Consider the following 27967-nt stretch of genomic DNA (forward strand, 5'->3'; position numbering starts at 1 on the left):
TGCTTAGTGAAAGAAGCCAAACATGAAAGGCCACCTTTTAATGATTCCACTTGTATGAAATGTACAGAGTAGGCTAACTCATAGAGACAGAAAGTAGATCAGTGCTTGTGGGGTGAGAGGAACAGGGAATGACTGCTAATGGGTATGGAGCTTCTTTTTGGGGTAATGAAAAATTTCTGGAATTTGATAGTGGTGATATTTGCACAACCTTGTAAATATACTAAAAACCACTGAATTGTACGCTGAAAAGGGTGAATTTTATAGTATGTGAGTTATATTTCAATTAAAAAACCCAGAAATGATAGCAAACTGATTTCTATATTTATAGACCTTGGGCAACAAGCGTTTTGGTAACACCACCCAGCTTTGCATTTTCCACCAAAATGTTAAGCAAAAGAATTACTCAGAGGACAAGGAGAAAAAGCTGGCTATAAATTTTGAAACATAATTTTTAAAAATCTATATTGCATACAATGCTGATTATAAATATGCAATGTAAAGCTCTGCAAAATGCAAACAGTATCTAAATGTAAAATGTAGAAAGTTGCAGTTTCCTATAACCCTATTGTAGGGATTAATGTAATGCTAGCAGTTTAACAGATCAATCCTAACATCTCAAATGCCTAATAAGATAAGATTTTATCTTTTACCAGTGAAATCTAAAACAGAATTTTGCCCCTATCAACATGAAAGAATCAAAAGGATCAGCACCCATTTTTAAAGAGTTTATTCAGGCTGGGCACAGTGGCTCACACCAGTAATTCCAGCACTTTGGCAGACCAAGAAGGAGAATTGCTTAAAGCCAGGAGTTCAAGACTAGACTGGGCATCAAAGTGAGACTCTGTTTCTATTAAAAAAATTTTTTTAAGGCGTTTATTCCGTGAAAATGGGGTCAGTGAAATGGGGTCCGTGCTCTGATGTCAAAAGTTAAGGTCTTGTTTATAAAGGAAGAAAACAAAGAAATTTAACAGGATTATTTCTTATACAAAGCTGGTTTATGAATTAAAACAATTCAATTAGTTAATTTGTTTTCTTTTCCTTGTGGCTTGGTTTCATTTATTTTCTAATTTAAAAGAGTATATAATGTAACAGTCATGAAGGCTTTGTGTGAGAGAGGTAGGAAGGAAGTTAATCTGCAATGAAGATCAGCAGTGAAGTGGGACTAAAGGGAAGTACCCTTTAGTCATTTACAACATTTTACAAAATTATGTAGATAAGGAAGGAGGCTAATCTATAATCAGAGAAAAAATGTTTACAGTTTCCTAGGTTACAGCTGCCTGTCACATGACTCAAGTCTCATAAACACATTTCTTTAAAGCTCAAAATAATTTAATGTTCCAACAGCTTAGATTTTTTTCTTTTTTTTTTTTTTTTTGAGGCAGAGTCTTGCTCTCTTGCCCAGGCTAGCATGCAGTGGTGCAGTCTTGGCTCACTGCAACTTCCGCCTCCTGGGCTTAAGTGTTTCTCGTGCCCTAGCCTCCCAAGTAGCTGGGGCCACAGGCGTATGCCACCATGCCCGGCTAATTTTTTGTATTTTTAGTAGCGACGGGGTTTCACCCTGTTGGCCAGGCTGGTCTCGAACTCCTGACCTCAAATGATCCACCTGCCTTGGTTTCCCAAAGTGCTGGGGTTACAGGCGTGAGCCACTGCACCTGGCCCAATAGCTTAGATTTTGAATTACTTATTTTCACACCACTGATCAGTAAATTGCTCTTCTCCAAGCAATGATTCAGAGACCCAAGGTCATTCTATCTTCTGTCTTCATCTTGAACACACGACATTCAGAGTTGCCACAGAAGGAGAAAGAGCATGGAGAACTGTCCACGATTCCATTGGCCAGATCTCAGGCACACGGCCATAGTTATCTGCAAGAGAGACTGAGAAATGTAAGCTGATGAGTGGCCAGGCGGAAGAGGAAACAGATTTGTTGAACTTTTGGCCAGTCTCTGCCACACATTTCTCACCAACAACTCTGTCAATAGTTTATAGCAAAGTCCTCCACCTTTTTTTGGTATGCATATACTAATATATAATAACATTTTTAGGGAATCATGCTATGTATATTGGATACTATGGACTGGGTAGGCTGATTCAGATATGACCTGCGCTTATTTAGTCATCATCCATATACATTCAGAATTTAGAGTATACTGATTCAAACCTTGGTAACCTCAAGCGGGCATTACACATTGTTATTCAGATGTTTCTCATACTGACTCAGATGCTACTCAGCACGCTCTTACATGTAAGCCTGTGGGGATGGCCAGTCCCAAGTCCGAAGAATTGAGGAGGGTTTCATAGCTCTGCTGAGGTTTATCTCCCTATGAAGTTGCTTTCTTTACTCCTTCAAAAAAAATTCGTATTATCTGGCTTTTTATATTATATGTTGTTTTAATTTTAACCTCAGATGTGGTTAATTGTTCTCTGCATTTCATGGCACATTACTGTCATTGGTCCATGCAATTCTTCTTCCACTTCTCCCCCTGTCTCATATATGTGTATATATGAGAATTGGGCTATGGAATGAAGGGAATATATATATATACACACACACACATGCACATACAGAAAATAACTGAAACCAAGCCATGAGGAAAAGAAAACAAATTAATTGTTTTAATTCACAAACCAGCTTTGTATGAAAAATAAACCTGTTAAATTTCTTATGTGTATGTGTGTATATATGTACACACACACACGCGTGCACACGTGCACGCACAAACACACACACATATTCCCTTTCATTCCATAGCCCACTTCCTTTCTCTCCCGATAGACAACCACTATAATGTGTTTAATATGTATCTTGGTATTTGTGTCTTGCAAAACATATTTTACGTGCAAATATTTTAAATTTAATATTTAATAAATATTTAAATTTAATAAATAAAGTGACTTGTGTTTATTATGTATTCTGTTATCACTTTTTAAAATCAGCACTGTTTTTAAGTTCAAGATCTATCCATGTTGTTAAGTGTACATCTAATTCATTGGTTCCAATTGCTGTATAGTACTTCATGGTGTACCTTCAACACATTTTATAGATTTATTCTCTAAGTGATGAAAATCCAAATTGTTTCCACAATTATTGCTCCTCCAAAACACAAATGATGCTTCAATGAAGATTCTAGTTCTTTTCTTTCTTTCTTTCTTTCTTTTTTTTTTAGATGGAATTTTGCTCTTTTCTGCCCAGGCTGGAGTGCAATGGCATGATCTTGGCTCACTGCAACCTCTGCCTCCTGGGTTCAAGTGATTCTCCTGTCTTAGCCTCCCGAATAGCTGGGATTACATGTGCATGCCACCAAGCCTGGCTAATTTTGTACTTTTAGTAGAGATGGGGTTTCACCATGTTGGCCAGGCTCGTCTCAAACTCCTGACCTCAGGTCATCCATCTGCCTCAGCCTCCCAAAGTGCTGGGATTACAGGATTCTAGTTCATGAACTTTTATGGACTTGGGTAGGAATTTCATTGAGATACTGACTCGGAAGCCGATTTGCTTGATCATTAAGTATACAGACACACTATTTGACTATGTACCACCATGCTGCCCTCTAAAGTGGTTGCACCAGTCTTCATGTCCACCATGGAGTTCCTCTTTCCCCAACAAATATCACTGTCATATCTCTAATTTTTGCTATCAGATTAGATTATTAATTTACATTTTTCTGATTGTAATTGCATTTAAGCATCTCATCACTTGCTTACTATCCTTCTGCATTTCCTCTCCTGTGTATTGCCTACTCATAAATCTTTCCATTTTTTTTCTTTTTTGTAATTGGGGTTGCTCTATTTTTCTGCTCTATTATTGGGGTTGATATGCAGGACTTCCTTTTCTTTCCTAGGTCAGGGACCAGGAAGCTATGGCCCCCTAGATCAAATCTGGCCTGCCTCCAGTTTCTATAAATCAAGTTGTATTACAGCACAATCACACCCAGCCGGGCTCAGTGGTTCATGCCTGTAATCCCAGCACTTTGGGAGGCTGAGGCAGGAGACTCACTTGAACCCAGGAGGTGGAGGTTGCAGTAAGCTGAGATCACACCACTGCACTCTAGCCTGGGTGACAGAGTGAGACTCTGTCTCAAAAAAAAAAAAACAAAAAGAAAACACAAAAATTAGCTGAGCATGGTGGTGTGCACCTGTAATCCCAGCTACTGGGGAGGCTGAGGCAAGAGAATCACTTGAACCTGGGATGAAGAGGTTGCAGTGAGCCGAGATCGCACCACTGCACTCCAGCCTGGGTGACGTGGCAAGGCTCTGTCTCAAAAAAAAAAAAAGAAATGAAAAAAAAGAACATATTCACACCCATTCACTTACTTATTGCCTATGGCTGCCTTCCTGCTACAACAGTAAAGTGGAGTAGCTGTGTCAGAGACTATCTGGACCACAAAGCCAGCCTGAAATATTTACTGGGTTTTTTTATTCTTTATTTTTCTATTTACTGTTTGTTTCTTTACAGAAAAAGTTTGCTAAATTCTGCTCTAGATAATAATCCTTTATTGATATTATAAATGGCAAGTATCTTTCGCCAGTTCATCATCTATCTTTTAACTTTGTTCACATAGTCCTTCAATGAACCAAAAATCTTAATTTCCTTTTTTTGATTTTCAGTTAACCAGCAGTTTTATCTTGATTTCTATATAATCAAATTCATTAATTTTTTACCTTGAGTTATACTTTTTTAAGTTTTAAAAAAGTTTATTCCCTGTCCCTAGGTTATAAAAATATCTTCCTACTTTTTTCTATTAAATTCATAATTTTACCTTTTATGTTTAGGTCTTTAAGCCATTTGGAGTTCACTTATATAGGTGGTGTTAGATAGGGATCTGGTATTATTTTTCTCCATATAGTGATCCTATTTATCAAACGCTTTCTTATTATACAATCCAATCAGCCTTTTTGCCAGTTTTCAATGTATTGCCTTACAGTTCCAAATCTACCCTTCATTGCCTGCTCAGCAAAAATCAAGATGGACCCTTTAAATATTTCTCCTTTGCCAGGGGCATGATACAAAGCTTTGTCAGTAAGACCGTGCTAAAGGGACACAGAGGAAAATGAGTTTCTCCTCTTCTATCTTTCCATCTCGTCAGGATTTTGCAGTATGTGGGATTGCAGGATTTTGCAGTTTCTGTGGCACTGAGCTAGTACCACATGGCTTCTCTAGACCTGCCTCCTACAGCACATAGCAGCCAGCATCGCTCAGTGTCCTCCAACTCCCCCTGGCTTCCTCTTGGGTAGATTTCTAGCAAATTTCACTGATATGACACCTTAGCAACTTCTCCACCATCCAGTGAAGAGGTACTCCCTCTGCAACACGTTTTGGAGCACAGCCCTGAGAGTGGGGGAGGGGGGACTCTTCTTTGGGCATTCTATTTTGTTATAGTTAATAGTCCTTTGTAGCCATGTGTGGTAGCTCACGCCTGTAATCCTAGCACTTTGGGAGGCCGAGGTGGGCAGATCACCTGAGGTCAGGAGTTTGAGACCAGCCTGGCCAACATGGTGAAATCTTGTCTCTACTAAAAATACTAAAATTAGCTGGGGGTGGTGGCGCATACCTGTAATCCCAACTATATGGGAGGCTGAGGCAGGAAAATCATTGGAGCCTGGGAGGTGGAGGCTGCAGTGAGCCAAAATCGCTCCACTACACTCCAGCCTGAGTGGCAGAGCAAGACTCCATCTCAAAAAAAAAAAAAAAAAAAAGTTCTTTGTATTAAACTTTCCTGTTCAAACTTTTTTTTTTTTTTGAGACGGAGTTTCACTCTTTTGTCCAGGCTGGAGTGCAGTGGCGTGATCTCAGCTCACTGCAACCTCTGCCTTTCAGTTTCAAGCAATTCTCCTGCCTTGGCCTCCTGAGTAGCTGGGATTACAGGCGCCTGCCACCATGCCCAGCTAATTTTTGTATTTTTAGTAAAGATGGGGTTTTACTCTGTTGGCCAGGCTGGTCTCAAACTCCTGAAATTGTGATCTGCCCACCTCAGCCTCCCAAAGTGCTGGGATTACAGGCGTGAGCCACCACGCCCGGCCCTTCCTGTTCAAATTACTGTATGGTTTCTGTCTCCTGGTTGCACCTTAACTGACATATTTTCCTGGTTGGACTCTGAGTCATATTCTCATTGATTTGTAGTATACTTTAACTGTATATTAAATTCCCATATTTCTACATGGGTCTATGTCTGAGATCTCTATTTTGTTCTATTGGCCTACTGGCCTAATTTAATCTTTAATGAGATAATAAGTGCAAAATATCTACCCATTACCTAGCACATAGTAGTTACTCATTGAATGGTAGTGATAATTAACATGATAGAGACTACTTATTTTTGCCCTCACAAAGTACCCATCTAGGACCAATAATCTGGCTTTTGTTTAATTTTGTGGGGTTGGAGAAGGGAGGCAGATTCAGTAGGGAGAGATGACGTTCTTGGTTCAATCAACTTATGAATGAATGAAAATCCAGAAATTGCTGGATTTTTCTGGCTTTAAGCCACTGCTTTAGCCATCACCCATAATTCACATTCATGTAGGCATTTACTTCTACAATGATTCTAATAGATCTATTCTATAATTTTTGAATTTTCTTGGGCATAATTAGAAATCATAAACCTATACAATGCAGTCTCATAGAGAAACTCTAGCAAATGCTCCAAGTGTACACAGTACTATTTTTTTTTTACATTTTTGTTCCAAAAGAGAAGTTTCTGTCATAGATTAACCATAAATTATAAAACAAAATCTAAACAAGTAGTAAAACATCTCCCATTATTTTATTTTATTTTATTTTATTTTATTTTATTTTATTTTTTGAGATGAAGTCTGGCTCTGTCGCCCAGGCTGGAGTGCAGTGGCACAATCTCAGCTCACTGCAACCTCCACCTCCCGGTTCAAGTGATTCTTCTGCCTCAGCCTCCTGAGTAGCTGGGATTACAGGCACCTGCCACCATTCCCAGCTAATTTTTTTGTAATTTTAGTAGAGATGGGGTTTCACCATGATGGCCAGGCTGGTCTTGAACTCCTGACCTCAAGTGATCCGCCTGCCTCAGCCTCCCAAAGTGCTGGGATTACAGGAATGAGCCATCACATCCAGCCTGTCTCCCATTCTTAGATGGGAAGATTTAATATGTCCAGTCTACTGAAATTAATACATTTAATACAATCCTAGTTATAAACGTGGTAACTTTTGTGAAGTGGATAAAATAATCTCTAAATTGATGATGTAGATTGTCACCAGCTATAAACATCACCAATTTCTCCCCTCTGATGTGGAGTTACCCTTCTTGCATACGGGCTGGACTTAGTGAATGCTAACTTGCTTAATCAATAGAATGCAGAGAGCCTATGCAACACAGTGAGACTCCAACTCTATAAAAAATGTTTGTTTTTTTTAATTAGCCACACATAGTAGTGCACCCCTGTAGTCCCAGCTGCTTGGGAGGCTGAGGTGGAAGACCACTTGAGCCCAGGAGGTGGAGGCTGCAGTGAGTCATGATCGTGCTACTGCATTTCAGCCTGGGCAGCAGAGAAAGACCCTGCTTCAAAAAAAAAAAAAATACAGAGGAAGAGTCATTCTGAAACGTCCAAGTTTAGATAACAAGAAACATTGTAACTTCCAGCTGGATCTCTTGAAATGTTTGCTCTTGAGACACTCCTCAGAAACCCACACACTAGAATGTGAGAATCCTAAGCCACATGGACAGGCTGCCTGTTGGCACTCTGATTGACAGTCCTAACTAAGCTCCCAGCAGAGAACCAGCATCAACTTCGAGTTATGTGAATGAGCCATTCTGGATATCCAGCCCAGTGAAGCTTTCAGATGGCTCCAGCCCCAGCCACCTTCAAATGCTAATCACATGAGACCCCAAGTGAGGACTGCTCAGCTGACTTCAGTCAACCCACTGAGCATGAGAGATAATAAATCATTGTTTTAAGTCACGAAGTTGGGTATAGATTGTTATTATAATAGTATTAGGTTGGTGCAAAAGTTATTGCGGGTTTTGCCGTTAAAAGTAATGACAAAAACCTGCCGATGCTGTGGCTCACACCTGTAATCCCAGCATTTTGGGAGGCCAAGACGGGTGGATCACCTGAGGTCAGGAGTTCAAGACCAGCCTGGCCAACATGGTGAAACCCTGTCTCTACTAAAAATATAAAAATTAGCTGGGCATGGTTGGGGGGCATGTGTAATTCCAGTTACTTGGGAGGCTGAGGCAGGAGAATTGCTTGAACCCTGGAGGTGGAGGTTGCAGTGGGCCGAGATTACACCACTGCACTCCAACCTGGGCCAAAGAACGAGACTCTGTCTCAAAAATAATAATAATAATAATAAACTAATGACAAAACCCACAATTACTTTTGCACCAAGGTAATAATAGGTAACTGGAATAGAAATTGATACAAGTAGTGTTATGCTGCTGTGACAAAAACCTAAAACATGGGACAGTGACCTAGGACCAGGTAGTTGTTGGAAGCTGAAGGGCCTTAGGAGACTGTTAGTGAAGATTTGAAGGAAACTGTTATTGGAGGAAATTGTTATTGGAGGCTGGAGAAAAAGCAACTATTTTTATGTAGTAGCAAAATGTTTTGAAGAATGTCACCTGTGGTAAAACATAAAATAGAAAGTATACTTAATGTACTGGTGAATTTGGCTAAGGAGATTTCTAGGTGGAATGTTCAAAGTGCCGACTGGTGTCTTTTAGCAGTCAATGGTAAGGTACAAGAAGAGAAAGATAATCTAACAAGGAAATGATTCTGCTTTCTAGAAGAATTTAGAGGGTATATAAAGTGCTCAGGACAATCTTTTTAGCCATCAAAAGTTTTTCAAAGGGGCAGGGCACGGTGGCTCTCGCCTGTAATCCCAGCACTTTGGGGGACTAAGGCGGGGGGATTCACGTGGTCAGAAGATGGAGACCATCCTGGCTAATACGGTGAAAACCCATCTCTACTAAAAATACAAAAATTAGCCAGGCATGGTGGTATGTGCCTGTAATCTCAGCTACTCAGGAGGCTGAGGCAGGAGAATCGCTTGAACCCGGGAGGCAGAGGTTGCAGTGAGCTGAGATCCTGCCACTGCACTCCAGCCTGGGTGACAGAGCGAGACTCCATCTAAAAAATAAATAAATAAAAATTTAAAATAAAATAGAAGTTTTTCAAAGGAAGAACAGTATTTTTTTTTTTTTTTTTTTTTTTTTTTTGAGACGGAGTCTCGCTCTGTCGCCCAGGCCGGACTGCGGACTGCAGTGGCGCAATCTCGGCTCACTGCAAGCTCTGCTTCCCGGGTTCACGCCATTCTCCTGCCTCAGCCTCCCGAGTAGCTGGGACTACAGGCGCCCGCCACCGCGCCCGGCTAATTTTTTTTTGTATTTTTAGTAGAGACGGGGTTTCACCTTGTTAGCCAGGATGGTCTCAATCTCCTGACCTCATGATCCACCCGCCTCGGCCTCCCAAAGTGCTGGGATTACAGGCGTGAGCCACCGCGCCCGGCCTGGAAGAACAGTATTAAGATGAAGTCAAGAGTGCAGCTGTAAGACTTTTTAAGACTTTAGAAAGTTTTAAGTTTTAAGCATCTGTTAGATGTTCTCAAGTAAATGAGGGGCTACTAAGAATGTTAGAATGCTTCATAGACTCTTTTTCTACTCTTTTAAGAATCTTGGTCAGGTGTGGTGGCTCACGCCTGTAATCCCAGCACTTTGAGAGGCCGAGACAGGCGGATCACCTGAGGTCAGGAGTTCAGGACCAGCCTGGCCAATATAATGAAACCCTATCTCTACTAAAAATACAAAAATTAGCTGGGCATGGTGGCAGGAGCTAACTACATGGGGGTGCCTGTGATCCCAGCTACTTGGGAGGCTGAGGCAGAAGAATCACTTGAACCCGGGAGGAAGAGGTTGCAGTGAGCTGAGGTCGCGCTATTGCACTCCAGCCTAGGAGACAAGAGTAAGACTCCATCTCAAAAAAAAAAAAAAAGAATATTAAGGATGTTTCCTATAGCACACTGAATCTCAGACTATGGCAGAGAAGGACCTATCTTGAAAACATTTGTGACTTTGGCTTTCAAGAACTCAAATAAGATTCATAGGAAACTCATAATAATTTAAGAGAATTGCATATGTAGAAGCACCATCAGCTTCAACTAAAAAGAATAGTTTAAAATGAAAAAAAACCCTTGGAACTCAGAACTTCCTATGGGCAAGAAGCAGGCTTCAAAAGCTACACAGCAGCAAATATAAGACTTTTTTTCTGGAAACGGAATGATGATTCAAAGTGAAGAGCCAAGAGTCCAGAAGGCAGAACTCAGAACCACAGAGAATCACTCCCAAGGAGCAGGATTGGGTCCCAGTTAAGGACATGGAAATGTGCATTCTGAAATCTGGGATTTCAGAATTACTATGGAACACTGACTGTTATGTGCCTCCTGTTCATCCCTTTTGAATGGGAGCATTTATTGCAGTTTTCCTATCCTCATATGACTATTGGATGTTGTGTTTGTGTTACAGATGACTTGACTGTATTTCACAGGTCTTCATATCAAGAGGAACCCACACTCAAGGAAGTACGCCTGAAGAGCTTCATCTGCAGCTAGACCTCATTTAGGTAATGAGACTGTGAACTTCAAGCTGATACCATGTGGGATGAGACTTTGGGGGTCCTGGGAGGAGAGTGAGTATATTTTGCACATGGAATGGACGTGAATGGTGTTGGCCAGAGGGCAGGCTGCGGTAGACAGTCTTTAAATATGTATATCATCAGTGTCTGCTGTACTTGTAGTATGTCCTCTTTTTTACTTCTTTTTTTTTTGTACTTTTCTTCATCATTTCACCAGCGGTTTGTCTATTTTATTACTTTTCTCAAAGAACCAACATTTGGTTATGTCAATCTCTTTTATCACATATATTTGTTTTCTGCTTAGTTTCTCCTGTTGTTTTTTCTCCTCTCATTTTTATTATCTCATTACTTCTACTTTCTTTCCTTTTTTTTTTTTTTTGTTTTATTTATTTATTTAGAGATGGGGTCTTGCTCTGTTGCCAGGCTAGAGTGCAGTGACGTGATGACGGCTCGCTTCAGACTTGATCTCCTGGGCTCAAGTGATCCTCTTGCTTCAGTCTCCTAAGTAGCAAAGACTGAGACACCATGCCTGGCTAATTTTTAAATTTTTTTCTAGAGATTGGGGGTCTCGCTATGCTGCCCAGGCTGGTCTCGAACTCCTGGCCTCAAGCAGTTCTCCTGCCTTGGCCTCCAAAGTGGTGAGATTACAGGTGTGAGCCACTATGCCTGGCCACTTCTGCTTTCTTTGTTGATTTTTGTCTAACATCTTGACTTTAAAGCTTAGCTCTTTAAATTCCAGCCTATCTTTTTTTCTAATATAAGCACTTAAGGCTATGCATTTCTCCTTAAGTACATCCTATAAATTTCAATATAGCACTCTTAAAATCATTCAGTTCTAAGTATTTTCTGATACTTTCTTGTATGGTGTCTTCTTTGATCAGTTTAGCAGTAACTATATTTAAAGTTTTTCCAACATACAGGGTATTTTAAGGTGTTGCTGTTACTGTTCTTACTGTCCTCCAGTTATAATGAGACACCCAATGCGGTAAGTATACTGATTCTTTGGTGTTTGAGACTCGTTTTGTAACCTGGAGCATGGTCAATATTTATAAAAGCTCCATGGAAATTCTTGACAAAAATATATGTACTCTAATATTGGCTAACATTTTCTAAGTATAACCTATTAAGTCAAACCTGTTTTGTTTGTTTGTTTTGTTTTGTTTTAAACTGCTTCCCTGTCTTGGACCTGTCTGTCAGAATTCTATACTATCTGTGACATCTTTGGCAACAGTAACCCAATTTTTCCTTTCTTTATTAATGTGACATGAGATATTTGAAAATTCTATGATACATGTAGTATGTTTCATATTAAACTGAATTTGGGGGAGTTTTACACTTAATAGTTTGTCAATATTTTAGGATATTGGTACTTGATATCCTCTTTATATGAACAAATTGACTCTAAATTTTAAGCTGGAAAGCCATTGCAAAATCATGTAGAAAATAGGCTGGGTGCAGTGGCTCATGCCTGTAATCCCAGCACTTTGGGAGGCCAAGGCAGGTGGAACGCCTGAGGTGAGGAGTTCAAGACCAGCCTGGCTAGCATGGTGAAACCCCCATCGCTACTAAAAATACAAAAATTAGCTGGGTGTGGTGGTGCATGCCTATAATCCCAGCTCAGTCACTGTAGTTAAACTCCATTGGTTTGGTCTGTTAGGCTGAGTGCAGGAGCCTAGTCCAAATCAATGGCCTCCTGTAAATTTTAATTAATTAATTTATTTATTGAGATGGAGTCTCACTCTGTTGCCCAGGCTGGAGTGCAGTGGTGCAGTCTCAGCTCACTGCAACCTCTGTCCCCCAGGTTCAAGCAATTCTCGTGTCTCAGCCTCCTGAGTAGCTGGGATTACAGGTGCCTGCCACCACGCCCGGCTAATTTTTTTATTTTCAGTAGAGACAGGGTTTCATCATATTGGCCAGGGTGGTCTTGAACTCCTGACCTCAGGTGATCCACCTGTCTCAGCCTCCCAAAGTGCTGGGATTACAGGCGTGAGCCACCATGCCACACCTCAATGTCCTTCCAGCCTCAGTCAGCCAGGTGGTTTCAAAGCCAATTCCACATTTTAGGCTTTCATTATGGTAGCACCCATACCAAACTTTTTCTTAGAAACAGCTAAAAGCTGCATAAATTTGAGTCCTCTCACAAGTTCAAGGCAGATAGTTACTCAAGAGATTGAGGCTGAGGACGGGAGGCGGCTTGAGCCCAGGAGTTCGAGGTTACAATGAGATATAATTGAGCCACTGCACTCCAGCCTGGGTGACAGAGTAAGGCTCTGCCTCTAAAAAAAGAAAAGAAAAAAGTTCAAGTGGAAAATGGCAGTGAAAAGATAAGAAGCAGCAGGAGTAGACAGGGAGAATCTTCAGGCCATGGTGCAGGACTGACACCCGTGAGAGGAGAGAAGGAAAGAAGGAGGATTGGGTAGGAAGAGGCTCCGAGTGTTAGTGCAGCTCTGAAAAAACTCTTGGCCAGGCTGATTGCCCAGTGAAGGAGTCCCACATAAGGCAGAAATGGCCCAGCTGTAGTATGCCCTGGAGCTCGGTCATTGGCTGGGATGAATCCAGGGAAAGCGTGCCTTGGCAAGAATGCTGTGGCAAATCCCAGAGGTACGGCAGTTACCTCTACACCTCACAGCAGATTCTCTTTGTGAAGGTGGATGTAAGACATTGTGCACACAGTCCACCCCTTGGTCACATAGCCCATCCCTTGCACTGCCAAGATCCACCTGCCCCACATCATTGGAGAGAAGTTCCTCTACAGCTCTCACAGGCCTCTCTTCCTGAGGAGAAACCTGAATGAGTGAGGTTAGGGGGATGAACCATAGCCCCTATTGTTGCAGATGGTTGAGTTGTCTTTTTTTAAAAAAAAAAAAAATCAATTTATAAGACTGGGTGCAGTGGCTCACACCTGTAATCCTACCACTTTGAGAGGCTGAGGAGGGAGGATTGCTTGAGCCCAAGACCACCCGGGGCAACATAGTAAGACCTCATCTCTACAGATAATTTAAAAAATTAGCTGGGTAGGTGAGCCACTGTGCCTGACCATACATTTTATTTAACATATGAAATGCCCAGAATAGGCAAATCTATAGAGACAAGTAGATTAGTGATTGCCTATGGTTGGGCAGGGAGAGTTGTGGGGTGCTGTGTTCTGAATGTGTCCCCAAGATTCATATGTTGATACTGAATCACCAATGTAATAGTATTAAGAGGTGGGGCCTTTAGGAGATGACTAATAAGGGCCGAGCCCTCATGGATGGCATTAAGGCCCTTATAAAAGGGCTTGAGTTGGTGGGTTCCATCTCTTCTGCCATGTGAGAAGGTCCTCACCTGATGCCAAACACCAGTGCTTTGATCTTGGACTTCCAAGCCTCTAGAACTGTGAGAAATGTCTACTATTTATAAATTATTCAGTCTCATGTATTTTGTTGTAGCAGCACAAACAGACTAAGACAGAGGTGGCAGGGGTGAGGGGGGACAGAGTATGACCATTAATGGGTACCAGGTCCCTTTTTGGGGTGATAAAAATGTTCTAAGATTGATCATGGTAAAAGTTGTACAACTCTGTGAATATACTAAAAACATCGAATTGTATGTTTTAAATGGGAGACTTGTATGGTATGTGGATTATATCTCAATAAAGCTGATATATATGTGTGTGTATATATATATGTGTATATATATGTGTATATATATGTGTGTATATATATGTGTGTGTATATATATATATATATATACACACACACACACACACACATATCTATATCTAGGACCAGGACTTACTTGGCTTGGCTTGAAAATAAAACTGTTTTCACTGTCAGCCTCTCCAGATGGTAAATGATTCTAAAGTTAAGAAATGGCTCTGGGCAGAAGTAAAATCCAAGACACTGTCAGGAAAATATTATCTAAAAAAGAAGTTAAAGGTTAAGACCTTTATAGAATGCTTTATAGGATGCTTTATAGAATCCATCTGATAGAAAAAAAAGTCTCTCCAAAGATCTTAAGGACATTTTGGAGCAGTCTCTCAAGGGAAGGAAGTGCTTATCTCAAAGAGATTTATGAGAGTAGCTTTTGTTGGAGTGGATAATAAATTCATGCATAAGGAACCCACAAAGCTTCTAAGAGAATTGCTCTGGCAGAAGCATCTATCAGCTAGGACTAATGGGGACATAGACAGTACAAAATGGAAAGATGCCTTTTATAGGGAGGAATCAGGCTGAGAAGGCTACTCAGATACAAACTCAATTTTCTTATAGAAAAGGAAGGATGATTCAGAGTGTAACCAAGAGCCCAGATATTGGAGCTGAAACCACAATGAACAACTCTCCGGCAATTGGACTAAGCTCTAATCAACCTACATCAGTTGGATTTCAGAGTTGTCTCTGCTGTATGCCTCCCATTTTCCCTTGTTTTGAAGGGGAGCAACTCTAGAGCAACTCTAGCCATGGGAGCAACTGTAGAGCAACTCTAGCCTTTCCCACCATTGTATGTAGGATGTGTATAGGAGGCAAATAAGTTGCCTCGTTAATTCATATATTTGATATGTAGGAAACAAATGGCAGAGATAGATCAATTAGATAAATTGAGAGGCTCTTAAGATAGTCCAGGCAAGAGATGATGGTAGCTTGGAGTAGGTAGCAGTGAAGAAAATGAGTAAGTAGAGAGATTCAGAATATATTTTGAAGTTAGAGCCAATGGTCTTTGCTCATATATTGGAAACGGGACATAAGAGGAATAGAAGAGTCGAATCAAATTCAACTCTTCAATATTTAGCTTGAAGAGCTGGGTTAATAAGTTTCCCTTCAACTGCTTTTGTTTGTCCACTCTCAGAGGAAAATTTTTAAGCGTAACCTACACTGCTCTCCCCCTTTTCTCACCTCCCACTTCCCATTACACTTTATCTAGTCTCTGCCTACTACCAGTCTGCAAAAAATGCTTCTGAAAATATCGCCAAAGGCCACCATGTCTTAAAATCCAATGGATACTTTTTAATCCTTTTTATGTGATCACTCTATTTTATTTAGTACAGGTATCCACTGCCTTTTTGAAATGTTTCTTCCCTTGGCTTTTTTGGACCATGTAGTTTTCTGACTTTCTGCTAACTCTCTAATTGCTCCTTTTCAATCTTCTTTTCTGGCTTCTAACTCTTTGTATAGCTCTGTGCAGAGCTCTGGCTGACCCTTTTCTTGCCTCACTCTGTACTCTTTCAATCTTAGAACTCCACGGCCAAGTGCAGTGCCTCATGCCTGTAATCCCAGCACTTTGGGAGGCCAAGGTGGGCAGATCACTTGAGACCAGAAGTTCAAGACCAGCCTGGCCAACATGGTGAAACCCTGTCTCTACTAAAAATACAAAAATTAGGGCTAGGTGCGGTGGCTCATGCCTATAACCCCAGCACTTTGGGAGGCCGAGGTGGGCGGATCACCTGAGGTCAGGAGTTTGAGACCAGCCTGGCCAACATGGTGAAACCCCATCTTACTAAAAATACAAAAATTAGCTGGGCATGGTGGGCACCTGTAATCCTAGCTACTCAGGAGGCTGAGGCAGGAGAATCGCTTGAACCTGGGAGGTGGAGGTTGCAGTGAGCTGAGATCGCACCATTGCACTCCAGCCTGAACAACAGTGCAAGACTACATCACACACACACAAAAAAAAAGCTGGGCGTGGTGGCATGCACCTGTAATCCCAGCTACTGGGGGTGAGAGTGGGGCAGCTAAGGCATGAGAATTGCTTGAACCCTGGAAGCAGAGGTTGCAGTGATCCAAGATTGTGCCACTGAACTCCAGTCTGGGTGACAGAGCAAGCCTCTGTCTCAAAAAAAAAAAAAAAAAAATCTTGGAACTCTTAAGTCCACACCTTCTGGCCAGACTTGCCTTCTGAACTTCAGTCCTGCGTATTCAGGAAATCTCATAGACACCTTAAATTGAACATGTCTCATACAGAACTTATCACCTTTTACCATCAACTTCCTCATCCTCTAGTGCTCCCAGTGTCTGTAAGGAAATACTATCCACCCAGCTGCTCAAACCAGAGAACTAAAAGTCCACTTGACTACTCCCTCTCTCTCACATACACACACACACACCCATAAAAGATCAGTCACTAGCTTCCGTCATTTCCACCTCCTAGATCACTCACTCTCAAATCTGTCCACTCCTTTTTTCTTTTTTCTTTCTTTTTTTTTTTGAGACGGAGTTTCTTTCTTGTTGCCCAGGCTGGAGTGCAATGGACAATCTTGGCTCACCACAACCTCTGCCTCCCAAGTTCAAGCGATTCTCCTGCCTCAGCCTCCCGAGTAGCTGGGATGACAGGCATGCACCACCATGCCCAGCTAATTTTTGTATTTTTAGTAGAGACAGGGTTTCTCCTTGCGGATAAAGCTGGTCTCGATCTCCCGACCTCAGGTGATCCGCCCACCTTGGCCTCCCAAAGTGCTGGGATTACAGGCGTGAGCCACCGCGCCCGGCTAAATCTGTCCACTTCTTTTCATCCCTACTGCTGCCACTGCAGTCCAAGCCATCATCATCTCTTGCCTGGACTTCTTCAACAGCTAACTTCTCTGGCCTCCTTGCATTCACTTTGGCCCTTCTTCATGCTATGGCTAGAATGTTCTTGTTCAAACACAAATAGGACCGTGCATGTTCTCAGTTTAAAGTCCTTCAGTGACTTCCCTTGGAATAGATTTCAAAATCTTTAATATAACACACAGGTTGTGCATGATCTGGACCCTGCTATTTATTTTGCCTCAGTCTCATCTCATTTCCTTTTATTCTCTGTGCTCAACCACACTAATCTTTTCTCAATTCCTTGAACCTACCATGCTGTCTCTCACCTTTGGGACTTCATACTTTTCCTCTCTGCTCTATTCTGTTGTCTGGCTAATTCATACTCATCCATCAGATCTCATATTAAATAGCATTTCCTCAGGGCATCCTGCCCTAATCCTTCCAGATTAAATCAGCTCGCCCTGTTATGTGTTTCCTTATACTTCTGAACTTCTGTTTGGCAGCACTTTGCTTATGATTCTTGTAATTATTTAGTACAGTATCTGTTTGGTGTCTGTCTTTGTCACTAGATTGTTAGCTCCAAGATGACAGACTGTGCCTGTTTTATTCACCATTGTATCCACAGTTTTCAGCAGTGCCTGGCATGCAGTTAGATGCTTACTAAATATTTGCGGTCTTAGGGCACAGCGAGGGAAGACTTAAGTAGCACTGGACTTTGGCCACAGGCCAGAACTGTCTGTGACTACACCCACCCCCATGCTCCCCTAAGAAAACTTGTAAGAGTCAGGGGAAATGGAATTACTTTATGATTTCATGTACTGCCTATGGCAACATGATAACATATTCATTATAATTTTACTTATTAGAGTGAACAATTAGAAAAAAAATCCCTAGGGCTGGGCATGGTGGCTCACACCTGTAATCCCAGCACTTTGGGAGGCTGAGGCGAATGGCTCGCTTGAGGCCAAGAGTTCGAGAGCAGCCTGGCCAACATGGTGAAACCCCATCTCTATAAAACATACAAAAATTCGCCAGGCATGGTGGCATGTGCCTGTAATCCCAGCTGCTTGGGAAGCTGAGGCAGGAGAATCGTTTAAACCTGGGAGATGGAGGTTGTAGTGAGCCAAGATAGCACCACTGCACTCCAGCCTGGGTGAAAGAGCAAGACTCTGTCTCAATAATAATAATAATGTAGTGAATCCTTAATTTTCAAGTAAATACATTGCATGGGGCCCTGATACGTAAAATGCATTAAAATGAAGCCAGTCTAGTTAAATGGGGGATGGGACAGAACTTAATCTCTTGGGCCTCCCCAGCTTTTCCTTTCCCTTTCCTTTCCCCATTTTTCTTTCTTTCTTCCCCCACACCTTGAAGGCTTTCCAATCCCTATCTCTGTTCTCTCTTTTAAAGCCAGGGCATCATTTCTATCCCAAGTTTCCATGAGGTACTGCAAATACTTTGTTGTGTTGTTGCTGTTAAACTGGCTCAAGTTGGTTTTCTGTTACTTGTAATTTTATTTTGTTTTGTTTTGTTTTTGAGACAGGGTCTCACTCTGTCACCCAGGCTGGAGTGCAGTGGCATGATCTTGGCTTACTGCACTTCAACCTCCACCTCCCGGGTTCAAACAATTCCCCTCCCACCTCAGCCTCCCGAGTAGCTGGGACTACAGGTGCAAGCCACCATGCCTGGCTAATTTTTTGTATCTTTTGGTAGAGACAGGGTTTCACCTTGATGGCCAGGCTGGTCTCGAACTCCTGACCTCAAGTGATCCGCCAGCCTCAGCCTCCCAATGTGCTGGGATTACAGGCATGAGCCACCATGCCCAGCTTGTTACTTATAATTTAAAAAAAAAACCTTAAACAATACTGTTGCAGCTTATGATTCAGTTATGTAATAGAAAGAACACTGGCTCTGGACTCAGAAAACTCTGGTTTCAAATCTAGGTCCTGACTTTGAACAAGTTAATCATTTTCAACTTCAGTTTTCTAATCTGCAAAGGGGATAATCCTAGCTTTCACCATTAAAAGACAAAACACTAATATGTTAAAAGACCCATTATTGAGCAAGCTCTCAAGAAATGTTAAATAAGTAAGATTAAAGTCTTATTCAGAACCTCCCCTATCCGTCCAACTTGAAGGAATGAATAACTGAATTCAGTGCAGCCAAAATTAGCAAGGCTGCCATCTTGTGGTGACTCACTGGCACATTGTCCAATGTTATTGAGCGGAGTTGAAGCAAGATGTTCTAGAAACTAAAGCTACATAAAAGGATAGCAGACATACCAGAGAGGCATTGGAATAAAGATAATAACTAAGACTGGACTTTTAGGAACTGGCATATGCAGCAGAGAAGTCAGGGAAAGCGACAGAAAGAAGTGGCTGATGAAGGAGAAGCAAATAAATATATAATTGTGCAGTGTATCACTCCAGCCAGAGTTGACTTCCATACTGGAGTTGATAATTAACATGATCTTACTTCTTTTTTTTTTGAGATGGGGGTCTCACTATGTCACCCAGGCTGGGGTGCTGTAGTGTGATCTCGGCTCACTGCAACCTCTGCCTCCTGGGTTCAAGAGATTCTCCTGCCTCAGCCTCCCAAGTAGCTGGGATTACAGGCATGTGCTACCATGCCCAGCTAATTTTTGTATTTTTAGTAGAGATGGGGTTTTGCCATGTTGGCCTGGCTGGTCTCAAACTCCAGACCTCAGGTTATCCACCCACCTCGGGCTCCCAAAGTGCTAGGTTTACAGGAGTGAGCCACCTGTCCCAGCCAGATCTTACTTCTTTTTTCAAGACTTCAGAAGCCATTAACAAATCCAGCCGATACCATTATCCTTTTAATACCATTGCCCCCACGCCACAGCTCAACAGTGCTCCTTCTGGAGGCTCTAGGGGAAAATGTGGCCTTGGTCACATCACTGTGACCTCTGCTTTCATTGTAATATTGCTTCTTCTGAGCTTCGTCTGACTTCTGAGCTTTGTCTGACTTCTGAGCTTCTTGACTCTGACTTTCCTGTTTCCCTCTTTCCCTTACAAGGATCCATGTGATTACATTGGGCCTACCTGGATGGGCCTACCTGGATAATCTAGGATAATCTCCTCATCTCAAGATTCTTAATTTAACCACATTGCAAAGTCCCCTTTCCCATTTATGGTAAGATAGTCACAGGTCCCAAAGATTAGGATGTGCACACCTTTGGAGCACAATAGTTCTGCATACCACAGTGCATTTTTCTCAACTCTACATTCAGTGACATAACCTTGGTAGCTTGCAATTGATTGTAGTGAGAGTATTTACACCACAAAAGTTGCCAATTGCTACAAATCAGGGCTATCTCCCATGGACAGCCTGATGTTAAACTTAACCTGCACCGGTTATGATGGTTAGCTCAGGTAAATGGGTCTATTTTCAAGGTAAAAGAGAAATGTCACTATACAATAGCTTGTAGGATTATGCATATAACCCAAAGAATACTAGGGGTACCTCCTACTTCTTCTAAATCCGGTGCTAAAAATTAATGGAAAATTGTGAAAACATTATACAGGATGGACCACCAAGGTCTCCAATCCCACAAGAAAGAGGGTTTGGTCACCTATAGGAAACTCAGTTATAGCCCCAAACAGAAGCTATATGATTAAGTTCTAGTCAATGAAATGTAAGTGAAATTAATATTTCCCACTTCTAGATCAGGATGTTTAGGACAGTGGCATGCCTTCTTCATGCCTCTTTCTCTTTCCATCTCTATGACACTAGTGAACTGAGGTGCTGGCTGAAGACAAAGAAGATATAGAATGGGTAGTGGATATATGAAGTCAAAGATAACTAAGGCTTTGTGATCAGTTACAGAAAGTTTTTCGCCAAGCCAGTTAAGTATCTACATGTTGTATTGAATTTTCTTCTCCTTTCATTTCCCTTTCTCCCATGAATATATATAGGGTGTGGCACGTTATAGTGGTTAACTTTAAAGTTCAGTCCACATGGTGGCACACGCCTGTAATTCCAGCTACTCGGGAGGCTGAGGCAGGAGAATCGCTTGAAGCTGGGAGGCAGAGGTTACAGTGAGGTGAAATCAAGCCTTAGCACTCCAGCCTGTGTGACAGAGTGAGACTCCATCTCAATAAATAAATAAATAAATAAATAAATAAAGTTCAGTCCATACAGACTATTGAGGCAGGATTATTATGAACTGGAGAAAGAATGAACATGATTCAGAGATCCTGGACTTGTTGCTGGATGAAGTTACTGATGAGGATTTGAGATAATTTCTTTTTGGGGGGTAGAAGGTGAGTATAGTGAGTACAATTTAGGTTATAAAAGGGAGGGTTGTTTCAGTTTGGAGTTTTGTTTTGTTTTTTGAAGTGTAAGTAGAGAAAGAAGGGTGTATTTCGATGTCAGGCAGTCACAAGTGTTTATTATAGTGGACACCTATCATTCTTATTGTACACTCAGAATCTGTAACCCCTTTGTATGTTTGGACAATATCCCAAACATAAGAGACAGAGAGACAAGACAGTGAGCACGCACCTTACACTATCAAAGCTGGCAGTGCTCACTGTCACTTTCCGCGTGTAGCAGACTCAGCCAATTCCATTCTCTTTAATTTGGATTCCCTAACACAAGTAAGTTAGGGAAAGGAGAAAAGCTAACTTGGGTTTGTTAATGAGTGGTTACTGCTATGGATAACTGGGCTTAGGCCCTCTAGGGGCCCTCAAAAACACCGTGAAATGCATCTGTGTTCCTCTCAGGGGCAAACAAGCTGAAGTATTTGCTGTTAGATCTGGCTATGAGACAGGAAGCAGGGTATGCTTTGTGGGTTCCTTAGAAAATGTCAGCTTTCCCATTTCAAACGCTGCACATTCCCCTTCCTCTTTCCTTGTCCCTTAAACCTGATTTGATGGCACTAGGGCTGCAACAGCCAACTTGCAACCACAAGGGTAAGGTGAAGTGAATTGCAGAAATATCAGCTCTGACATTACTGAGCCAGTAAAACTGCCTACCTTCATTTTTCTTGTATGTGAGAAAAACTGACTTTAAAAAGGTGACTACAGTCAAGTTTTCTGTTATCTGTGGGCAAAAGCATTCACATTCGTAACTGATTTATTTGGTCTCATTTACAGCCAAGGGCACAGGCCCAATTTTGCTTTTGTGGGTTTTTTTATTTAAAATTTTTTTCCTTGAGATGAGGTCTCACTATGTTGCTTAGGCTGGTCTTGAACTCTTGGGCTCAAGTGTTCCTACCACCCCAGCCTCCCAGAATGCTGGGAATACAGGCATGAGCCACCACACCTGGCCTAACTTTGAGTCCAAAGGTCGCAATACAGGCCAGGTGCAGTGGCTCATGCCTGTAATCCCAGCACTTTGGGAGGCCAAGGCAGGAGGATTGCTTGAGGCCGGGAGTTCCTGACCAGCCTGGGCAACATAGCAAGATTCCAGCTCTACAAAAAATACAAAAAGTAGCTAGTCATGGTGGCATGTGCCTGTAGTCCCAGGTACTCCTCCGGAGGCTGAGGTGGGAGGATCACTTGAATCCAGGAGTTAAAGGCTGCAGTGAGTTATGATTATACCACTGCACTCCAGCCTGGCTAAGAGCAAGATTCTGTCTTAAAAAAAAAAAAAAAAAAGAAGGCCGGGTACGGTGGCTCACACCTGTAATCCCAGCACTTTGGGAGGCTCAGGCGGGCAGATCACATGGTCAGGAGTTTGAGACCAGCCTGACCAATGTTGTGAAACCCCCCTTCACTAAAAATACAAAAATTAGCCTGGCATGGTGGTGTGTGCCTATAATCCCAGCTACTCTGGAGGCTGGGGCAGGAGAATCGCTTGAACCTGGGAGGTGGAGGTTGCAGTGAGCTGAGATCATGCCACTGCACTCCAGTCTGGGTGATAGAGCAGGACTCTGTCTCAAAAAAAAAAAAAGAAAAAAAAAGTTAGCAATACAAAGAAGCAGGAACTGTGGGAAAACTTTCTGGGGATGGGGACAGTAGTAGTAGTTCTGGTGGCACCATCCAGTATGTTGACACTTTAGACCTTATTTTGCTTTCTGATGGCCTTTGCCAGGGAAACAGACAAGAGATTCTCTATACTTAATAATAATTGTTACTACTCATTGAGTGTTTACTGTGAGCCAAGTGTTTTATTAGTTTTCTGTCCTAATTCCTATCAACCATTTAAGACGGCTATTAATATATCCTCTGAGGTTAAATGAGGATAACTCCAAGATCACACAGTTGGCAGAGTTGGGATTCAGTTTCAGAGTGACCCCAAAGCCAGATCTTAATCATATTTCTATATTGCGGCTATTTCTTTTGCCAACTCCTAATTTTTGGGCCTGATCCCCTATCTGAGGCTGAAATCTGGGGCCATACCCTTGGAGGGGAAGAAAGATAGGGTCACATAGACTGTTGTCTGTCATTAGCCCGTTTGGCAGGGGGATATAGGCTCTGCCCAAACGTAGACAGGCTCTGAGCCAGGTTGCACAGATGCAGGCAGTCCTCTGAGTCAGGCTGGGAAAGGCTCCAGATGAACCGCCAGACTTCTGTGTCTGAAACCCTGAGAGATAAAGAGGAAACTTGGGTGGCTCCCTCAGAGACAAAGTGATTCTGCAGGTTCAGAATGTGCTGAAATCCAGGCCATAAGAAAGTGGCAATAATACATGAAGAGGGGGAATGTGTGAGAATCAATCAACTCTCTGCTGGCAATTCTTGCTTGTAAATTGATTAATTGAATTCTTTCTTCTCCTTCTCTTCCCAGGCTGGATTTTGAGGACTGAGGCTCAAAACCCCCAAACCCAGATCCAATCCTTTTTACACCTTCCATTTCCCCACATGCCAAGTCTCAGAGCCAACTTGGCCCCTCTCACCCTTTTCATTTAGTCAATTTTTACTATAAATACTTATTATCAATTTTGTGCCAGACAAACAAGGACTTATTGGGAGGAAGCAACTTACAGGAGAGGAAGCTATTAAAAGATAAGTGCACAAATAATGAATGAGGATTGTAATACCTGCCAGGAAGGAAAAGCAGTATTGAATGAGAATGTGTCTTAATTCATTCCTGCTGCTATAACAAAATACCTAGACTGGGTAATTTATAAATAATACAAATTTCTTTCTTTTTCTTTCTTTTTTTTCTGAGACGGAGTCTTGCTGTGTCACCCAGGCTGGAGTGCAGTGGCGTGATCTCAGCTCACTGCAACCTCCACCTCCTGGGTTCAAGTGATTCTCCTGCCTCAGCAGATTCGAGTAGCTGGGTTTACGGCCACGTAGCTGGGACTACAGGTGCCCACCACCATGCCTGGCTAATTTTTGTATTTTTAGTCGAGATGAGGTTTCGCCATGTTGGCCAGGCTGGTCTCGAACTCCTGACCTCAGGTGATCCGCCCACCTCGGCCTCCCAAAATGCTGGGATTACAGGTGTGAACCACCGCGCCTGGCCGATTCAGATTCTTATTAGATCTTTGTGCTTATCTTCTAGCAGTTCTCCCTGCCTCTTTTGTTGCCCACTGAAGGCCATGCCCTACACTGTAGCTAGATTTTTATTTCTAAAATACAGTATGACTAGTGCCTCCTCGCTTTCACATTAAGGTTTGACCTCTCTTGCCTAGCATAGTTTGCTCAACCTCCTTTTCTTCAGCCTTATCTCCTACTTTTCTCCTGCAGGAACCTCTCACCTCAGTCCAGCACAGATTCCCATCTCCACTACTGTTCATTCATGTTTGCTCTGCAAGGATCTATCTGTCCATCTCTGCCTAGGAAATGACTATTCTGAATTCAAGGCACTCACTGAACATGTGCTAGATGAGAACTCACCATGGATGAAGCACTGGGTACTGGACAAGGGGCAAGATCAGCGAGGAGGAAAAAGCTGGAAGACAGAAGGCAGCGTATCTTCTGATGACCACTCCAAATGGAAATATCATTTCCAAAATAGACTGTAAGCTCCATGAGAGCAGTAACAGGGTCTGACTTGTCCACTGCTGGATCCCTAGTTGTGCTTGGTACAAAGTAGCATAGCAATTATTGAACTCTTCCAATAATTGCTACTATGTAGCTCAATAGTTTTTTTTCAGTGCATAAATACATGTGACAGATATTCTTTTATTTATTTTTTTGAGACAGAGTCTCACTCTGTCGCCAGGCTAGAGTAGAGAAGCACGATCTCAGCTTACTGCAACCTCTGCCTCCCGGGTTCAAGCGATTCTCCTGCCTCAGCCTCCCAAATAGCTGGGACTACAGGCGCATGCCACCACGCCCAGCTAATTTTTGTATTTTTTAGTAGAGACGGGGTTTCACCATATTGGCCAGGCTGGTCTTGATCTCTTGACCTCGTTATCTGCCCGCCTCGGCCTCCCAAAATGCTGGGATTACAGGTGTGAGCCACCGCGCCCAGCCCTTCATGTGACGGATATTCTTAAACTATCTTCCCATCTCCTACTGGAGTTACAAATGCATGGATCTAGACTTCTTAAAAGACTGGACATTCCTTAGGGCAGGGGTTGTAACTTAAGTCGTGTGTGCATTCTTTATAATGAAGCATTTTACAAAGTGGTTTCACATACATTACTGCTTCCGTTTCTCATTACAGCCCCATTAATATTCCCCACCTGATGAGGAAACTTTCTTCATTCTCCTTCCTGCTTCCTCTTCTCTCTCCTCTTCCTCTAGAATGCGTGTATGGTCTATGTTCCTTCTGTCTCTAATCCAGAAAGAGATTTAGAATAACTAAATGCAGAGTCAAAGATTATGTCCAAATAAAGTTAGAGTTTGTGTGTGTGTGAGACAGTGTTTTTAGTTAAATGTCAATATTTAAAATATACTATGACTTTTATACCATATTTTTTCATGTTGTCATGTTCTTTTAAACATGCTGGGAGCCATAAAGTTAGGAAGAGGCCCAGTAACCCGTCCAAAGTAACCTGACCAAAGTCTGACCCCTAGTAGAGGGCCTATGCCAGCACTGGAACCCAGTGTCTCCAGATCCAGAGGCATTCACCACCTCAAATCTGCCTCAAATGTCTGCAGTATGGTCTATCACAGGGGCTAATTAAGCTCATGGGATTTAGAGTCAGACAGATGTGTTTCCTTCAAAGTTTCAACAGTTACTTTCTGACCTTGGCAAGTTATTCAGCTTCCTCATTTGAAAACTAGAGGGCATAATGGTACCTACCACCGAGAGTTGCTATTAGGAGTAAATGAAAATACGCTTGAAGAACTCAGCATGGGCCTGGCAAGTAGTCAGCGTGCAGTAAATGGTAGCTGTTATTTTAAGAACTTTATTTGTTGAATGATTGACTCTGGCACATAACGCCTGCATTCAACTTGAAACACGGAGCTGTCACAGTCGTTCAGCTGAAGGGGCGGGAACTGTGGCACTTGCCAATTTTTTCTAGAAATAAATCTTTGTGGGAGGATAATGACCGGTTGGAGAGTGTGAGTCTTGAGGGAACAAAGATCGGATCTCCCGGCCCAAGGAGTACGGAAGCGAAGCCTCCCCTGCGCGCGGCAGCCACCGTGCGTAACCTCCCCTGAACCGAGTAGCAGCCGCCTGAGCCCACCCAGCCCTGGGCGAGGCTGCCTCAGAAGCCGGATTTCAGCAGAGTGGGTGCAGGATCTGCTTTAATTCTGCTCATCTTATTCTCGGGGACCACACCCTGCGCGCCGGGAGGAAGGGCTCCAAAACCACAGGGCGGAGGCTTCCGCGCGGCCCCAGACTTGACCATCTATGGTCACAGAACACACCGACCAAACAGGAAGTGGGGTGAGAGCGGAGGGTTCCCTACCTTCCCAGCCCCGCGACTGCCAGCCGGGCTGGGGCTGACCCACCGCGCCCTCACTGACCCCCACGCCCTGCGCCCAGTCTCCGCAAGTCCTCCCACAACAATGTCCAGACTAATTGCCTTCCCACGTCACAAACGGGGAAACCGAGGTATGCACGCCCAGAGACAGGCGGAGCGTGGCCTCGATCACCACCGAGAGCTGACGGCCGCCCGGATTCCCGCCCTCAGAGAATCCTGGCCCCCAGTCGTTCCAAGACCCTTTACGGACTGCAGCTTAAAGGAACCGGCCTCTGCCATTGAGACCAAACTGACAGAGGAACTGGTCACTCTTCTGTTCTTTCCAGAGAGGAGCTTAGCCAGGGACTTCTGCCCTTCCTGGGCCCGGGCCTCGGGGGCGATTCCGGGTAGGTAAAGCGGAACGAGGGCGTGGCCTCTCTTGTGAGCCCGCCCTCCCCGTGTCGCTCCCGCCTTGAGGGCGGGGCTCTTTCCCAAGTGCCCTCTGTGAGAGCCGGGCCGCTCTCTCCGGGGCGTGGCGAAGAGGGGCGGAGTCACGAGCGGGGCGGTGAGACTTCCTGCCCAGTCGCGGGCCAGCCTAGCGCTTCAGCCGGCGGCTCATTTCCGGTGGGGGCGCCGCGCCCAGTGAGGGCCCGGAAGTGGGTCGCGCGGAGATTGCTGGGCGGTTCTTGCCGGAAGCGGAGAGCGGCTGATCGCAGTCCGGAGGTGAGGCGGAACTCTGAGGTGAGGGTGTGCAGCTTGGTAGGGATTGGGGTCCCTTCCGGGGCCCATCGGCCCCTGGTGGTGTTAATGGCCCTTCTGGCCTACGCGCGTGTCATGAACCCTGCCGAGAGGGCCGGGGCTGAGGCCCTCAGGCCGACCCGGACTCTTGGGCGCGGTCTCTTGAGGTGGGGCCGGGGTGAGCAGCTGAGTCCGGGTGCCCCGGGGAGGCCCCTCTGCCCGATTTCGCAGCGCTGCCCATCAGCTTCAGCGGAGGCCTGATTCCTGAGGTGCTCTGACTGGAAGGAACCTCCGAGATCGGAGAGTCTTCCCTGTCTCCTGTTGATGCTCCCATTGCACTGATAGGTAAATTGATCCCTAG

The 27967-nt window shown here is 43.3% G+C and overlaps 1 protein-coding gene and 1 long non-coding RNA gene across 28 annotated transcripts in view, besides 8 other annotated features; one reads left to right on the top strand and one right to left on the bottom strand.

The window, feature by feature from the left end:
- Positions 1 to 712: 712 nt before the first annotated feature.
- Positions 713 to 27254, bottom strand: LOC105378669 (uncharacterized). Of its 3 annotated transcripts, none has more exons than XR_001738013.3 (3): positions 25699 to 27254; positions 24905 to 24959; positions 713 to 1877 (listed from the first exon to the last, which is right to left on the bottom strand). It is a non-coding gene; the product is annotated as an uncharacterized LOC105378669 (long non-coding RNA). The 3 variants fall into 3 exon arrangements; XR_001738015.3 differs by having other exon boundaries at positions 1628 to 1865; XR_001738016.3 differs by lacking the exon at positions 713 to 1877 and adding an exon at positions 23032 to 23645.
- Positions 2233 to 2282: a silencer, noted in NCBI's record as "silent region_719". NCBI's record gives its function as "represses an Ori minimal core promoter by ATAC-STARR-seq in GM12878 lymphoblastoid cells {active_cell/tissue: GM12878}" and the evidence as "EXISTENCE:reporter gene assay evidence [ECO:0000049][PMID:35858748]".
- Positions 7454 to 7683: an enhancer, noted in NCBI's record as "active region_824". NCBI's record gives its function as "activates an Ori minimal core promoter by ATAC-STARR-seq in GM12878 lymphoblastoid cells {active_cell/tissue: GM12878}" and the evidence as "EXISTENCE:reporter gene assay evidence [ECO:0000049][PMID:35858748]".
- Positions 26555 to 27188: an enhancer, noted in NCBI's record as "NANOG-H3K27ac-H3K4me1 hESC enhancer chr1:40505419-40506052 (GRCh37/hg19 assembly coordinates)". NCBI's record gives its function as "activates a minimal SCP1, AML or CMV promoter by ChIP-STARR-seq in naive H9 embryonic stem cells {active_cell/tissue: H9 hESC(naive)}" and the evidence as "EXISTENCE:reporter gene assay evidence [ECO:0000049][PMID:30033119]".
- The window catches only part of CAP1 (cyclase associated actin cytoskeleton regulatory protein 1), a 32409-nt gene continuing 31489 nt past the window's right edge, over positions 27048 to 27967 (top strand). For 8 of the 25 annotated variants that reach the window (NM_001350478.2, XM_047431520.1, XM_047431420.1 and 5 more), the window contains exon 1: positions 27537 to 27609. The gene's annotated coding sequence lies outside the window, so the exon portion shown is untranslated. Of the gene's footprint in view, positions 27276 to 27536; positions 27610 to 27833; positions 27952 to 27967 lie in introns of those variants that run through there. The other 17 variants (NM_001350475.2, XM_011540515.2, XM_011540510.2 and 14 more) reach the window with 3 other exon arrangements.
- Positions 27157 to 27226: an enhancer, noted in NCBI's record as "active region_825". NCBI's record gives its function as "activates an Ori minimal core promoter by ATAC-STARR-seq in GM12878 lymphoblastoid cells {active_cell/tissue: GM12878}" and the evidence as "EXISTENCE:reporter gene assay evidence [ECO:0000049][PMID:35858748]".
- Positions 27157 to 27836: a biological region, named in NCBI's record as "NANOG-H3K27ac-H3K4me1 hESC enhancer GRCh37_chr1:40506053-40506687".
- Positions 27189 to 27823: an enhancer, noted in NCBI's record as "NANOG-H3K27ac-H3K4me1 hESC enhancer chr1:40506053-40506687 (GRCh37/hg19 assembly coordinates)". NCBI's record gives its function as "activates a minimal SCP1, AML or CMV promoter by ChIP-STARR-seq in naive H9 embryonic stem cells {active_cell/tissue: H9 hESC(naive)}" and the evidence as "EXISTENCE:reporter gene assay evidence [ECO:0000049][PMID:30033119]".
- Positions 27477 to 27676: an enhancer, noted in NCBI's record as "active region_826". NCBI's record gives its function as "activates an Ori minimal core promoter by ATAC-STARR-seq in GM12878 lymphoblastoid cells {active_cell/tissue: GM12878}" and the evidence as "EXISTENCE:reporter gene assay evidence [ECO:0000049][PMID:35858748]".
- Positions 27747 to 27836: an enhancer, noted in NCBI's record as "active region_827". NCBI's record gives its function as "activates an Ori minimal core promoter by ATAC-STARR-seq in GM12878 lymphoblastoid cells {active_cell/tissue: GM12878}" and the evidence as "EXISTENCE:reporter gene assay evidence [ECO:0000049][PMID:35858748]".

The sequence above is a fragment of the Homo sapiens genome, chromosome 1, assembly GCF_000001405.40.
Source record: "Homo sapiens chromosome 1, GRCh38.p14 Primary Assembly".
Lineage (NCBI taxonomy): Eukaryota > Metazoa > Chordata > Mammalia > Primates > Hominidae > Homo > Homo sapiens.